General features: G+C 35.7%; 1 protein-coding gene across 1 annotated transcript in view; it reads right to left on the bottom strand.

Moving 5' to 3' along the window:
* PIGK (phosphatidylinositol glycan anchor biosynthesis class K) overlaps positions 1–16,832 on the bottom strand; it is a 130,442-nt gene that overhangs the window by 59,811 nt on the left and 53,799 nt on the right. Inside the window, exons 6-9 of the mRNA NM_005482.3 lie at positions 15,047–15,143; positions 12,795–12,912; positions 12,496–12,606; positions 5,650–5,822 (exon numbers count right to left, since the gene is read on the bottom strand). Coding sequence (NP_005473.1) covers positions 5,650–5,822; positions 12,496–12,606; positions 12,795–12,912; positions 15,047–15,143 — 499 coding nt within the window. The remainder of the gene's footprint in view (positions 1–5,649; positions 5,823–12,495; positions 12,607–12,794; positions 12,913–15,046; positions 15,144–16,832) is intronic.

Raw genomic sequence — 16,832 nt, forward strand, 5'->3', positions numbered from 1 at the left:
CGCCTCCTGGGTTCAAGCAATTATCCTGCCTCACCCTCTTAAGTAGCTGGGACTACAGGTGCGCACTGCCACGCTCAGCTAATTTTTTTGTATTTTTAGTAGAGATGGGGTTTCACCATGTTGGCCAGAATGGTGTTGATCTCCTGACCTAGTGATCTGCCCACCTTGGCCTCCCAAAGTGCTGGGATTACAGGCGTGAGCCACCACGCCCAGCCATATCAGTTTTAAATAACTTATTAGAACTATACGATTTTTAATGAACCTAATGGTAACCACAAAGCAAAAACCTATAATAGATACACTAAAAGCAAAAAGCAATGAATTAAAACATACTACCAGGGAAAATCATTTAATCGCAAAGGAAAATAGAAAAAAAGGAAGAGAGGAGTTACAAAATAACTAGAAAACAAATAACAAAATGGCTACAGTAAGCCCTTACCTACCAATAATAATACTGAATATAAATTGACTAAATTCTCCAATTAAAAGACATCATAATTAAAAGACATGACTAACTGGATTAAAAAACAAGACCCACCTATATGTTGCCTACAAGAAACTCACTTCACCTATAAAGATACAGACAAAAAATGAACAAATAGAAAAAGATATTTTATGTAAATGAAAACCAAAAAAGAGCATGAGTAGCAATGCTTATATCAGATAAAACAGACTTTAAGTCAAAAACCATAAAAAGAAACAAAGAAGGTCATCATATAATGATAAAGGAGTCAATTTAGCAAGAGAATATAATAATAGTAAATATGTATATACCCATTGCAGTATTACCCAAATATAAAGCAAATATGATTAGATCTAAAGGAAGAGGCAAACTGTAATACAATAATAGTATAGCACTTCAACACCCCACTTTCAACAACAGACAGATCATCCAAGCAGAAAATCTACAAAGAAGGATTGGAGTCTATACTCTAGACCAAATGGACCTAATAGACATTTATAGAACATTTCAGTCTGCTGCTGCAGATTATACATTTTCCTCATCAGCACATAAAACATTATCCAGGATAGACCATATGTTAGGTCACAAAACAAGTCTCAACAAATTCAAAAAAGCTGAAATCATTTCAAGTATCTTTTTCTGACTATAAAAAAAAAACCTAAAAGTCAATAACAAGAGGACCTTTGGAAAACTATACAAATACATGGAAATAACATTCTCCTGAATAACAAATGGGTCAATGGAGAAATTAAGAAGAAAATTTAAAAATGTCTTGAAACAAATGAAAATACAAACACAACATATCAGAATATGGGATACAGTAAAAGTAGTATTAAAAGGAAAGTTTATAGCAATAAACGCCTACATCAAAAAGAAAGATTTCAAATAAACAACTTAACTATGCAACTTAAAGAACTCAAAAATCAAGAGCAAAACAAATCCAAAATTAGTAGAAGAAAAGAAATAAGGATCAGACTGGGCGCAGTGGCTTACACTTGTAACCCCAGCACTTTGGGAGGCCAAGGTGGGAGGATCGTTTGAGCCCAGGAGTTCAAGACCAGCCTAGGCAACATACGGAGACCCCCATCTCTACAAAAAATAAAAAGAAATTAGCCTGGTGTGGTGGTGCATGTCTGTAGTCCCAGTTATGTGGGAGGCTGAGGCAAAAGGATCGCTTGAGCCCAGGAGTTCCAGACTAGCTTGAGCAACAGAGCAAGACTCAATCTCAAAAAAAAAAAAAAGAAAGAAAGAAAGAAAAAGAAATTGAGACTAAAAAGTATATAAAAGATCAACAAAGCAAACTGTTAGTTTTTTGAAAATATAAAATTGACAAACCTGTAGTTAGACTAAGAAAAAAGATTAAGAGCCCAAATAAATAAAATCAGGGATAAAAAAGAAAACATTTCAACTGATACCACAGAAATACAAAAGCTCCTTAGACAATATCGTGAACAAGTACATGCCGAAAAAACTGGAAAATCTAGAAGAAACATATAAAATCCTGGACACATACAACCTACCATCATTGAACCAGAAAGAAACAGAAAATCTAAACAGACCAATAATGAGTAACAAGATCAAAATAGTAGTAAAAAATCTCCCATCAAAGAAAAGCTCAGGACCTGATGGATTCACTACTGAATTCTGCCAAACATTTAAAGAACTAATACCAAGTCTACTCAAACTATTTCAAAAAACTGAAGGAGGGAATACTTCCAAATTCATCTATGAGGCTAGCATTACCCTGATAACAAAACCAGACAAGGCCACCACACACACACATAAAAAATCTAAAGGCCAATATCTCTGATGAACATAAATGCAGAAATCCTCCACAAAATACTAGCAAACTGAATTCCACAGCACATTAAAAAAAGACCATTCCATCATGATCAAGTGGGATTCATCCCAGATATGCAATAATGGTTCAATACATGCAAATCAATAAACATGATACATGATCAACAGAATCAAGGACAAAATCCATATGATAATTTCAACAGATGCTGAAAAAGCATTCAATAAAATTCAGCATCCCTTCATGATAAAAACTCTCAACAAACTGGATTAGAAGGAACATACATCAACATGATAAAGGCCATACATAACAAACCCACAGCTAATATCATACTTAATGCGGAACAACTGAAAGACTTTCCACTAAGATCTGGAACAAGATAAGAATGTTCACTCTCATCACTTCTATCCAACATAGTACTGGAATTCCAAGCCAGAGCAATTAGGCAAGAGAAAGAAATAAGGCGTGTCCAAATTGGAAAGGAAGAAGTCAAATTATCTTTGTGTGCAGACAACATGATCTTACACTTAAAAAAACCTAAAGAGTCCACCAAAACATTCTTAGAACTGATGAACAAATTCAGTAAAGTTTTAGGATATAACATCAACATACAGAAATCAGTAGCATTTTTATCCAACAGTTATCAATCTGAAAAAGGCATCAAGAAAGCAATCTCACTTGCAATACCTACCAAAGGAAAAAATAATCTAGGAATAAATTTTACCAAAGTGAAAGATCTCTACAGGAAAAACTACACAAACCTGATGAAATAAATTGAAGAAGACACAAAAAATGGAAAGACATCCCATGCTCATGGATTGCACGAAATAACATTGCTAAAATGTCCATACTACCAGAAGAAGTATATTTATTGATCTATACATATGCAATAATCTCTATCAAAATTCCAATGGCACTTTTCATATAAATAGAAAAATCAACCCTAAAATTTCTATGGAACCACAAAAGACCCAGAATAGCTAAAGCAACCCTGAGCAAGAAGAACAAAGCTGGACGCATCATACTATTTGATTTCAAATTATACTACATAGCTACAGTAATCAAAACAGCATGGTATAGGGATAAAAACAGACACACAGACCAATGGAACAAATAGAAAACTCAGAAATAAATCCAAGCACTTACAGCCAACTCATTTCCAACAAAGGTGCCAAGAATATACATTGGGAAAGGACACTCTGTTTAATAATCGTGCTGGGAAAACTGGATATCCATATGCAGAAGAATGAAACTAGATCCCCAACTTTCACCATATCCCAAAATCAAATCAAAATGGATTAAAGACTTAAATCTAAGACCTGAAACTGTGACACTACTAAAAGGAAACACTGGGGAAATGTTCCAGGACATTATTCTGGGCAGAAATTTTTTAGGTAAAACCTCAAAAATCATAGGCAACAAAAGCAAAAACAGAAAAATGAAATTACATCAAGCTAAAAAGATTCTGCATAGCAAAGGAAACAATGTTTAAGGTGAAGAGACAACGTACAGAATGAGAGAAAATATTTGCAATTCATCCACCTGACAAGCAATTAATAACCAGAAAATATAAGGAATTTGAAACAACTCAATGGCAAAAAACAAAACAAAACAAAACAAAAAAACAAAAAAACAAAAAAAATCTAATTATAAAATGGGCAAATCATCTGAATAGACATTTCACAGAAGAAGACAACAGGTATATGAAAAAATGCTCAAAATCACTAATCATCAAAGAAATGCAAATCAAAACTACAAGATATCATCTCATCTCAGTTAGCTTATAAAAAAGACCAAAAAATAACAAATGCTGGCAAGGATGTGGAGAAAAGGAACACTCATACACTATTGGTGGGAATGCAAAATAGGACAGTCATTATAGAAAACAGTACAGAGGTTGCTCAAAAAATTAAAAATAAAACTACCATATGATCCAGCAATCCCACATCTAGCTACATATCCAGAAAAAAGGAAATCAGTATACTGAAGAGTTATCTGCACTCCCATGTCTATTGCAGCAGTATTCACAATAGCCAAGGTATGGAATCAAGATGTGTCCATCAACAGATTAATGGAAAAGGAAAATGTATATATACACAATAAAATGTTATTCAGCCACAAAAAAGAATGAAATCTTGTTATTTGTAACAACATGGATGGAACTGGAAGTTATTGTTAAGTGAAATATGCCAGGCACAGAAAGACAAATATCACATATTCTCATTCACATGTGGGAGCAAAACGAGTGGATGTCAAGGAGGTAGAGGGTAGACCAGAGGCTGGGTAGGGAAAGTGTTTGGGAGGAGAATGAAGAGAAGTTGGTTAAGCAGTATAAAAATACAGTTAGAAGATATAAGTTCTAGTATTTGACAGAATAGTAGGGAAATTATTAACAATTTATTGCATATTTCAAAATATCCAGAAAAAAATAGTAATGTACCCAACACAAAGAAAAGACAAATGTCTGAGGTGATGGATATTCCAGTTACCCTGATTTAATCATTAAACACTGTACACAGGTATCAAAATATCACATGTACCCCAAAAATATGTACAAATATTATACATCAATTAAAAAAAAAGAAACTGTTGTAACTAGAATCAAAGAAAAGCATCTTGTGCCAGTGTTTGAATTTATTCCTACAACATTCATAAGCTCAATTACAAATCTTTGAAATTTTGAAAATTGCTGTAATTGTATATATTGCCATTTTTCAATCCAAAAAAGTTCCCTATAGTATGAGTTTCTAATAGATAGCAACAGATAATCACAAATAACAAAGTTTCATGGCTAACAACATATGCCATTATATATTTCAAGAAAGTAGCTATTGACTGACCCATTATTTATTTCTAATAAAGTATTTTACCTTTAAAAATGGTTACAGAGAAAATAAAACAAATTATAAGTATTTCTAAAATTCACATACCCAAAGTGAACCAATGTCTCCCAACTTCCTCTCTCTTACAAATGTCTGTACTCACTCACTGCTCACTCACATACAATTCACTCCCCAAGGCAGTACCTGGTTTACACTTCTCATTCCTTTCCCTAATGTTACCAGGAGGCCTAACAGAAAATTATGGCGCTGGGATAGCCAGTTATGGGAAAAGTTTTAGGCCTTTGTGGCAAGTATCAAACTGAACCACTAGCAAGATTGTCTTTTGGAGCTCCAACATAATCCTAACGATGATCTTAGTTTCCACTAATATTGATAGTTTTTACATATAAATCTGAAAAGCATACAGCCTACATAAAGTGAAGACTGGGTATAAATGTGTAATTTTATTTACAAACACCAACTTTTGCCTCTTAATACAATGTTTCAAAAAAATGTACAAACTGTGAGACTAGTATTCTATTCAAATAATGGTTTAAGATGAATACCTGCTTTCCATGATTTCTGAATCCTGTTGCAATTTAATAGTCTCTGTTGTAATTTCCACTTTCCGTACACTTCCAAAGAAATCAGTTATCAGTACATTTTTAGGATCCCTCTGAAAAAGATCAGTGCGATGTCCAGGAGTAGACACACACAGACTTTTGGGACATACCTGAAACTGAAAAAATATATAATAATAAATGCATGCATCCACACACATACCACATTTATTAAATCCAATCACATAATTCACTAAACTATAGTGTATTTTTAAAACTCTCCCAACCTAAAGAAGCTATGTGTTCTAAAGACCTTAAAGATTAAAGTTTCATTCCTATCATAATGCTTGGAATTTTAAGAAAACTATACAGACATTAGGACAGTAATAAAAAGGTAGCTGGCCACTGTGGGAAAAGGCATACTCACTTTCTTGAATTATATGCTTCAAAGTGTATTGTGAACCCTTAACTCTGAGAACTCATACTCAACACGATGAAAACAGAATTGCTCTTTTTCTTTGTCTGTATCCATCACAGTGCAGTGTTCTACTAGAATGGTTTTCAAACGTTTTGTAATCATGCCTCTTGATTCAAACTTCAAATTCAAATAAAGTAGTACATGGAGCCCCAATATGTAAAAAACATTTAAGTGGAGTTGCTCTGGATTTTAGAAAACTGAAGCACAGCCTCTCTACTGCATATCCTCTTGCTCTCTGTTGTACTCCTATGTAGCATTTTATATATCAAAGCACTTTCTTAGTTTATTTATGAAAATAAGCCCAAGCTACCTCCACAAATACTCCAGTGCTCCAAAGAATACAGTCTGAAAAGCCACAACTTCACTGCAAAACAGACATCACAGTAATTTTTCTGTTAATCTTATCACTGATACTCCATGTCAGTGAATTACCAAGGACAGACATATATTCACTCACTCAGCAAAGCATATAAAGTGTCTATTACATAGAATTCATACTGTTACTTTCCACAGAGGATACAAAGATTGATAAGACATGGTCCTGTCCTCAAGGATTTAAGTCTAGTTACAGATGAATAAACATAACAAGGTAGAAAAAAATGATAAGTCCCACTTCAGAAAAGGATAAACTTCTTATAGTTTGAGGATGGGGAAAAAACAGAGAGTGAAATTCAAGCCATTTTTTTTTTTCTTGAAGGAAAACGAGGACTTACTGGTGGGAAATAAGAGCATTCCTAATAAAAGAGCAGTTGCAGAGACGTGCAAAGCAAATTATTTAGTTTGGCTGAAGCATGAGAGATATGAGGAAAAATATTATAGGCCTGCCAGGAAGGGTCCAGGCGCACAGCACCTATCCACCTGTAGAGATAAGACTGTCTGCACTGGCAATCACCAATATGAAGGCAGAAAGGTGGAGAAGGGTAGAGCGGCTACAATTTATAAAACACAGTGTTCCAAGCACTGTGCTAAGCAGTTTGCAGATATTCTCATTTAAGCCTACCAATAACTCTGAGGTATACAAAACTTATATCTCCACTTCAAACTAAGGCTCAAAGAGATTAAGTAATTTACCTAATACCACACTGCCAGCAATCCTTGTCATCCCTATTCAGGAAAGCAGTACAAGGAAACACAAAGAAGGACTCAGGATACAAATTAAAAAGGAAAAAAAAGTAAAATGCCAAACAGGAATAACAGATAGAAGATTGGAGAAAAAAATGACAGATAAAATAAAATAAGCAGAGATAAAGTTGAAAGTCCCAAGAATACTGAAGATCTCTTGGGTATTCCTGTATGAACAACTTGATGGGCTTTCTTAGGTACCAGCAGAAGAAAACATTTAAGAGTATAGTCAAATGGGCCTGGGAAACACTGAATAATATTATCCTATTCTTTGCTGCCAAAATAAACATACTTCACCTTATTATGAAGTCACTCCTTTCTTTTAAGAATTTTTATCATATCAATCTGATTTCCTTAGCTCACATAACACAATGACCCACAGGTCCCATATTACTCAGTTTAATTTTCAATAATCTCCTTCAATTACAGAATGTCCTCACTCTAGCCAGGCCATTATCAAAGATAAGAATCATCTATTATTCCAACTTCTGTGTATCTGCACATATTCTATTTCCTTAGTGTATGCTATACCTCTCTTCCTTCAAACCATCCTTCCTTCAACCCATTATCAAAGAAAAGGATCATCCATTATTCCAACTTCCATGTGTCTGCGGGTATTTTATTTCCCTAGAGTATGCTATACTTCTTCTCTTCCTTCAAACCTGTACTTACTTTTCCAAGAAAAAGTTATGACTAATCTCACTATATTTAAAGGAACCATATAAATTGCATTGTTATCATGTCCTTTCATTCATTTAGTAGATATTCAATGAGCATCTACAAATAAACCAGGTACTGTAATTAAGTTCTGTGGAGTGTAAGATGAATATAACATGGTCCTTACACCTCGCATTCAAGAAGCTCAAAGCCTTGAGGAAACATCACAAATATAAACAATTACAGTGCAATACTAAAAGTATAATAAAGGTACATGGCAAGAGTTATATGTTCACAAAGGAAAGAAAATTACCTGGAGGATCCAGACATTTCACATAACAAGTAATGTTTTATAAATGTGCTCTTCAACTGTCACCAATGACACTATAAATTTTTAAGGGGCTAACACCAGGTCTTCAAATTTTGCTACTCCTAAAGCAACTAACATAGTGCTGTGAATACAGCTGATACTCAGCAAACTTTACTATACACATATACTCTAATAGAAAATAGGTATTATTATACAATTGAGCTAGAGATAGGTTAAGTCACTGCCCCAGTAAACTGCCAGAAAATCAATCATTCTTATTGAATAAGATTACAATAGTCATCATTAAATCTTAAAAATAAAGGTGGTAGGGTAAGATGAGGTATTAGTGAGGAATGTTTATTAAAAACTAAATAGCAATTAAGAGCAATAAAAAAATTAGTTTCCTTAATCTTTCCTGTATAATCAATAGAAGTATTTTTTAAACGATCATTAGATATTCAATGTGCAAGGTACATATATTTAAACTTTCGAGATAGCATGTCATGCCTTACATAAATTATAAAATGTACAATCCAAAAATGAGAACTTTCAAATTGAAGTAATTGGAACTTAGGTGACTATAATTTTTTTACAGTTAAAGTAGCATTATCACAAGTTTTAATATTCAAATTCATATCAAGATTTAATAAACATCAACATATATAATCTTCAAAACGAAGTTAGAAAGTAGTTGATATAGTTTGGCTATGTCCCCACCCAAATCTCATCTTGAATTACAGCTCCCATAAGTCCCACATATTATGGGACAGACTTGGTAGGAGGTAACTGAATCATAGGGGCAAATCTTTCCCATGCTGTTCTCATGACTGAATAAGTCTCACAAGATCTGATGGTTTTATAGCGGACAGTTCCCCTGCACATGCTCTCTTGACTGCCACCATGTAAGATGTGCCCTTACACCTCCTTTGCCTTCCACAATGATTGTGAGGCCTCTCCAGCCATGTGGAACTATAAGCCCATTAAACCTCTTTTTTGTTATTTTTGTTTGTTTGTTTGTTTGTATTGAGACAGAGTCTCACTCTGTCACCCAGGCTGGAGTGCAGTGGCGCAATCTCAGCTCACTGCAACCTCTGCCTCCCAGGTTCAAGTGATGCTTCTGCCTCAGCCTCCCGAGTAGCTGGGATTACAGGCATGTGCCACCATGCCCAGCTAATTTTTGTATTTTTAGTAGAGATGGGGTTTCACCATGTTGGCCAGGCTGGTCTAGAACTCCTGACCTCAAGTAATCCGCCCACCTCAACCTCCCAAAGTGCTGGGATTACAGGCATGAGCCACTGAGCCCAGCCTAAATCTCTCTTTTTTTTTTTAATAAATTACCCAGTCTCAGGTATTTCTTCATAGCAGTATGAAAATGTACAAATACAGTAAATTGGTACCAGCAGAGCGGGTTACTGCTATTAAGATACCCGAAAATGTGGAAGTAACTTTGGTACTGGGTAACAGGCAGATGTTGGAACAGTATGGAGGGCTCAGAAGAAAACAGGAAGATGCGAAAAAGTCTGGAGCTTCTTAGAGACTTGTTGAATGGTTTTAACCAAAAAGTCCAGGCTGAGGTGGACTCAGATGGAGATGAGGAACTACTGGGAATTGGAGCAAAGGTGATTCTTGCTATGCTTTAGCAAAGAGACTGGCAGTATTTTGCCCCTGCCCTAGAGATCTGTGGAACTTCGAAATTGAGGGAGATGATTTAGGGTATCTGGTGGAAGAAATTTCTAAGCAGCAAAGCGTTCAAGAGGAGACTTGGGTGCTGTTAAAATCATTCAAGTTTATGTATTCATGAAGATATGGTTTGGAATTGGACCTTATATTTAAAAGGGAAGCAGAGCATAAAAGTTCAGAAAATTTGCATCCTGACAATGCAATAAAAAATAAAAACCCATTTTCTGAGGAGAAATTCAAGCCAGCTGCAGAAATTTGCTAAGTAATGAGGAGCCAAATGTTAATTGCCAAGACAATGGGGAAAATGTCTCCAGGGCATGTCAGAGACCTTCACAGCAGCCCCTCCCATCACAGGCCCTGAGGCCTGTGGATAAAATGATTTTGTGGGCTGGGCCTAGGACCCCCTGCACTGTGCAGTCTAGGGACTTGATGTCCTGTGTCCCAGCCACTCCAGCTGTGGCTAAAATGGGCCAAAGTACATCTTGGCCCATAGCTTCAGAGGGTGTAAGCTCCAAGCCTGGGCAGCTTACACATGGTGTTAAGCCTGAAGGTGCACAGAAGTCAAGAACTCAGGTTTAAGAACCTCCACCTAGATTTCAGAGGATGTATGGAAATGCCTAGATGTCCAAGCAGAAGTTTGCTGCAGGGGCAGGCCCTCATGGAGAACCTCTGCTAGGGCAGTGCAGAAGGAAAATGTGGGGTTGGAGCCCCCACACAGAGTCCCCAGTGGGGTACTGCCTAGTGGAGCTGTGAGAAGAGGGCCACCGTCCTCCAGGTCCCAGAATGGTAGATCCACTGACAGCTTCCACTGTGTACCTGGAAAAGCCACAGACTCTCAATGCCAGCCCGTAAAAGCAAACAGGATGGGGGCCGTATCCTGCAAAGCCACAAGGGCAAAGCTGCCCAAGGACATGGGAGCCCACGTCTTTCATATGTGACCTGGATGTGAGACATGGAGTCAAAGGAGATCATTTTGGAACTTTAAGGTTTAATGACTGCCCTATTGGATTTCTACATGGGGCCTGTAGTGCCTTCGTTTTGGCCAATTTCTCCCAAGTGGAACAGGTGTATTTACCCAATGCCTGTACCCCCATTGTATCTAGGAAGTAACTAACTTGCTTTTGATTTTGCAGGCTCACAGGCAGAAGGGACTTGTCTTGTCTCAGATGAGACTTTGGACTGTGGACTTTGAGTTAATGATGAAATGAGTTAAGACTTTGGAGTACTGTTGGGAAGGCACGATTGGTTTTGAAATACGAGAATAGGAGCTCTGGGAGGGGCCAGAGGCAGAATGATATAATTTGGCTGTGTCCTCACTCAAATCTCATCTTGAATTGTAGCTCCCATAATTCCCACATGTCATGGGAGGGACTTGGTGGGAGGTAATTTAATCATGTGGGGCAGTTACTCTCATGCTATTCTCATGATAGTGAGTTCTCATGAGATCTGATGGTTGTATAAAGTGTAATTCCCCTGCACACGCTCTCTTGCCTGCCACCATGTAAGATGTGCCTTTGCTCCTCCTTCACCTTCTGCCATGATTATGAAGCCTCCTCAGCCATGTGGAACTGTGAGTCCATTAATCTTCTTTTTCTTTATAAATTACCCAGGCCCAGGTATTTCTTCATAGCAGTATGAAAATGAACTAATACAGTAGTTCTATCAAATTTCACAGCCTATAGCAGTGGGCTTCAGAATCTGAGAATTTACCTAAAAGATTTATATATAATTAAAGAGATCAATGCAAAGCTGCTTGGCTGAAGTGCTAGAGGACAGAGCCCTGTCTACTCAGTCTCACCTTCATTCTAAGTCCCATGAAAGCAGGAACGGCATCTGCCTCTTTCATTAGGAACAGCCTGTGCTTGGCACTTAGCAAACACTCAAGAAACATTTATGAAAGAATAAACAGACTATAAATTAATGGAGAAAAGAATGAAAGTCATTGACACATAGTAAATTATCCAGTCTAGAATTGTTGTTTCAAGCTTTTTGTTATGCCTACTTTCAACAGCAACTTCAAAGTAGATTTAATGAAAAGAATCAGCACAAAAAAATTCAGGAAAAAAATCTAAATTAAATTCAACAAGCCTTGTCAAATGACTATACTATAAATTGTAGGGCCCACAAAAATATGTAAGAAAAGGTCTCTCTTTTCCAGGAGTTTCCCATTCAGTGAGAAAGACTTACATTCAATTAGTAAGGTCAATAAAAGACTGTGGTAAATGTTACCAAGGAGAAATAAAGGTCTATGGAGGCTCTGAAAAAAAACAAGAAATTCCCACAGGGAAGAATTCGGGGAGACTTCCTGAAGGAGACACAATCTGAGGTGGCCCCTGAAGAATATGTAGAATTTCAAAAGTTGAATCTAAAAAAAGTACATTTCTGGTAAGGAAAAGAAAATGAGTAAATAAAGGAAAACATCAGGCCTCTTGTAGAGAGACAGAGAAATACTAATATACAGGTAAAAGGTAGATATCAAATAGTTTTAAAAGCTATAATTCAACACATAAAACAAGATCCTCTAGGAGTGCAGGGAATAATACACTTCTTTTCACATTAAGGTTAGCATACCTATGTGCTATAATCAAATCAAGTGAATACTTACAAGGTCATTCATATTAGTTTGGCTAGCTGGGTTAATTTCTTCCAAAAATTCCAAGACATAAAATGTGTATCTATCCATAAGATGGACTCCAATTGCAGGATCAGGTTGATGCTATGGAAAGGGGGAAAAAAAGTATTTCTAACAGTATCATTATAACAAAATGTTTTAAATGTAACCAAAATTTCCTTCTAATGTATTAGTCTAAGAAAGAACAGATACATTCATAAAGCATTTAATTGGTTTCAGAAATAGCTGCACATTCCAAAGACACAGTTTACAAATGGGGAAAATGCACATACCGAGAGTGAATCTTCTCCCACTTGACTACTAGCTAGAGCCATTATGTTAGGAGAATAAAATCGTTCATACATGGATGCTCCTTGGCAAGTATCAATAATAAACAGTAGCTCATTGTAGCTGAAAGAAAAATGATAACATCTTTGACAAGGATCATGCTGTAAATCATACACTAATATTTCTACAATACTTTTGTAAGATGTTTAAATCATATCTTAGTCATTTCATTAGCTAAAAGTTTTCAGCAGAATTCCCAACAGAAATTTGACCTCAGAAAAGTTAAAGGTATAAATTTGTCCAAGGAAACCACAGCGAGTCTTATTGTGCCCAAGGTGGCTGCCCCAGCTCTTTTCCCTCTTCCTTGTCTATGCCATATAATTCAGAATCTAAATGAATATTCCATTCAACAAGCACTTATTTGGCACCCATGCTGTCATAGAAATTGAGCTAGGTTCAGAAAAAGAAGTATGACTTAGTAACTATACTCAAAGAGCATAAACTCTAAGTGGAACACAGACAAACATACAACTACATTGGAACGTGATGAGTACTATAAATATATATTGAGTGCCTACAATGTGCCTGATATTATGCTGGAGATGCAATAGTCCCTGCCCTCATATAGCCTAGAGTCTAACAAAATCAAAGTGTTGAATGAACACTGAGAAAGGACTAAGGAGGAACTGCAAAGAAAAGCAGATCAGAGAAAGGTGATGCCCAATACGGACAATGAGGGATGTTATTTTGTTTTACAGAGAAAAGAAGATGACATTCCAGCAGAGAGAAAAGCACATAATGTAAAAAAGTATAAGTGCTTGGGAACAGATCTGTGTAGCTAGGATTTAAAGTAAATTTGGGAGAATGGAGGGAAATTGGTTTCAAAAAGGTAGAATAGGTTCAATTTGTAAAGGATACCATATGAAGTCTGGATCTTATCCTATAAGTTTGGAGAAACCATGAAAGGTTTTTGTTTTTGTTGTTGTTTTAATGAAAGAATAATATAATCAGGTATCCATTGCACAATAAGCTGGCTAGCTGGCAAAAGTTAAAGTAGAGAGGAGACATATTTTCTGGGAAGTTTTTCTCAGACACTGGGTCTAGGTAAACAGCTAACATGGAACCTAGAAAACAAAGCATTGAATCTTGAACCACAGTATCATCGAAGAAAGTGACAGGAGACACAATTAATATGACACATTTGTTCTGTGGCAAAATATGTGGAGGCTCCTATGCATTAGAAACACCCAAAGTTAGGAGAGGTTGTGGAGTAAACAAGAGAGCAAGCTCTAGGACTGAACCATTTGGGCATGAATCCTAGCTGTGTCAAGTTTGGCAAGTTACTACTAGCTGTGTAAAGTTCCACAAGTTATTTAATCTTTCTGTGCCTCAGTTCACTCACTTGTAAAAAGGGAATAATAATAGTATCTACCCCATAGAGTTGTAAAATTAAATGAGACAATAGATGTAAAATACAGTATGCAGCCCCCAGTATGCATTCTATAACTGTAAGCTATGAATAAGACATAATCAGTGCCTAGTAAAAGCTTCCTCAACACTTCCACACATTGCTTATGCTTTTATTTTAACATTACAGTATTTATTTTGTAGCATCATTGTATACATATTTCTCTTTTCCATTAGATTGTAAACACTTTGAAGGCAGAATAAGCATCATATTCCACTTTCTGCCATAGGAATGGAAGATAGCCTATAAGTGTTTATTGAAAGTAATCAAGTTAAAAGTTTTTTCACTTACAGTCATATGCATGACAGCTTCCAACTAAAGAGATGCTTAGCAAGGGTTACTAACAATCATCCTTAATGTGAGTTGTTACAAATTTTATGCTAATCATAATTTCAGCGATTTTTTTTTCCATAGAAGAAATACGTCTATAACATTAGGGGCCAAAGAATGAGCTAGAAAGAATAGGTACAAGTTGAAAAATAAACAGATGTTCATAATCTCCATAATAATAGCTAACTTGGTTGGAGGGACACTTATTTCCTCTAAAAAAGATGCTAAATAACAAGAGATGGAATCTTAAAAGGTTAACTATTTCATGTTATAGAATAACTCTCAGTTTTTCTTTTAAAAACAACCCAGTTCAGAGGAAATAACAAATGTAAATTTAAAAGAGTCAAAGAAATTGTCAAAATAAGTTAAAAATCTTAAAAAATAAAAATTACAAATCTACGAACCATGTGAAAATTAGGTATGAATATAGCTTATGAAAAGAAGTAATTTGCTAATTACCGTCTTTTCTGCCACATTTGTTCAAAAGCATCCGCGAGTTCTATGTTGGTAATTTCTTCAGAATCTTGAAATTTTAAGAAACCATTTCCACCATGCCCTTGTATAAAGAGTAAAAAAGATCAATAGATTTTTTAATGCAAACTGCATATATCTAGATATATACATTTACTTCATTCATTACATTTTGACATCGCTTGTTATTTTATACTCTAAAATGTATACTATGAAAACAAACAAATTGAATTTTCTACTATGCCAATTAAAAAGAGAATGATAGACTATATAAAATAGCAGATATAATATCTTTAATAGGGTTTCTAATATTCAATTACAGAAACCTATATTTATGCTCTTCCACTGGCTCCATTATTATATCAGAAATGAGTTTCCATTCACAAAATGTTTCAAATACCAGGCAAACATTTTTGATGAGAAAGAAGCTGAAGACATTAGCTAGTCCCACATTTTTACTACAAGAGGTGGAGCAGAAGATTGTGCTATTTGTATGCAATCTAGAGGCAGGTTGCCTGGATTCAAATGGTAACTATGCCATGTTAGTTTAGGAAAATAATTTAATATTTCTATGCTTCAGTTTCCTCAGCCATAAAGTGAGAAATGTATCTGCAACACTATCATTAGCTTACTTATACAGTTGCTTTGCACAGGTTTTTAAAAGGTACTTTCAACTGGGCATGAAAGTAGAAAAAAAAAACTAGTCTCCTCACCTTCCTCTTGGATACATGCAGCCCTGCAGGCTTACAAGTGGTTAGTTGACTATGCCTTTGTGGGAGAAAAAAGTATCCCTCCCTTCCATTAGAATACAACCCTGTGGTAGGGCAGATCGCTTAGTAAGTGTAAGCACATACGAGATTTCAGTTCCCACTTAACACCCTGGCCAGATTCTTGGGTGCACTATACAACCCACACAACCACATACAGCAACCTTGAATATCGGCACCTAAGTCAATGCACTGCTGTGAGAATGAAATGAGTTAATAGCCACAATGATTTAGAATACTGCCTGACGTATACTATGCCTCCATAAATATTATTATCATATTATCATAATTATCAACGTTTTTATTCTCTTACAGACCCTGGCAACCTTCTACAAAAGATCAGGTAGTAAATATTTTTGGCTTGTGAGCCATATTGTCTCTAGCACAACTACTGAACTCTGCTGTGGTAGTATGGAAGCAGTCACAGAAACTGTGTAAACCAAATGGATGCAACTGTGTTTCAATAAAACTTCCAAAACAGGCAGCCAGTTCACAGGCCATAGTTTATCAAATCCTATCTTCAACTACTGGAATTTGTTCCAAGCCTGCAGTTACCCTGAAAGAGTTCCAACAGAATCAGGAAACAAACAAAAAATAATAATAATAAATCCTTTAGTTTAGTACATCAAATAAAGCTAAGCTACAAAAAACTGCACTTCATCTTGTTTGCCATAAAAGCTTGAAAATTCCTTGTAATTTTCAGATAAAGTAAAATAAAATTTTTCCTGGCTTCATTAACTCTATTGAGTTAATTTATAAAGTTTATAAATTAAGCCTTGAAAGTTATAAATAAATGCAACACGATAGAGAAAAGCCACTAAGTAGGGGTCATTAACTATGTTGACATGTGATATCTAAGAATCATTCTGCACCTGCTTTATCATCAGTTGAATGGAATGCCCTCCAAAAAATTTATAGAACATCTTTTGATTAACATCCATATTTACCGAATACTACTACAAGACAGGCAACTGGTGATAAAAAAAAAAAAAAGCAAGAAATATATA

This window comes from Homo sapiens, chromosome 1 (assembly GCF_000001405.40).
Source record: "Homo sapiens chromosome 1, GRCh38.p14 Primary Assembly".
NCBI classification, from domain to species: Eukaryota; Metazoa; Chordata; class Mammalia; order Primates; family Hominidae; genus Homo; species Homo sapiens.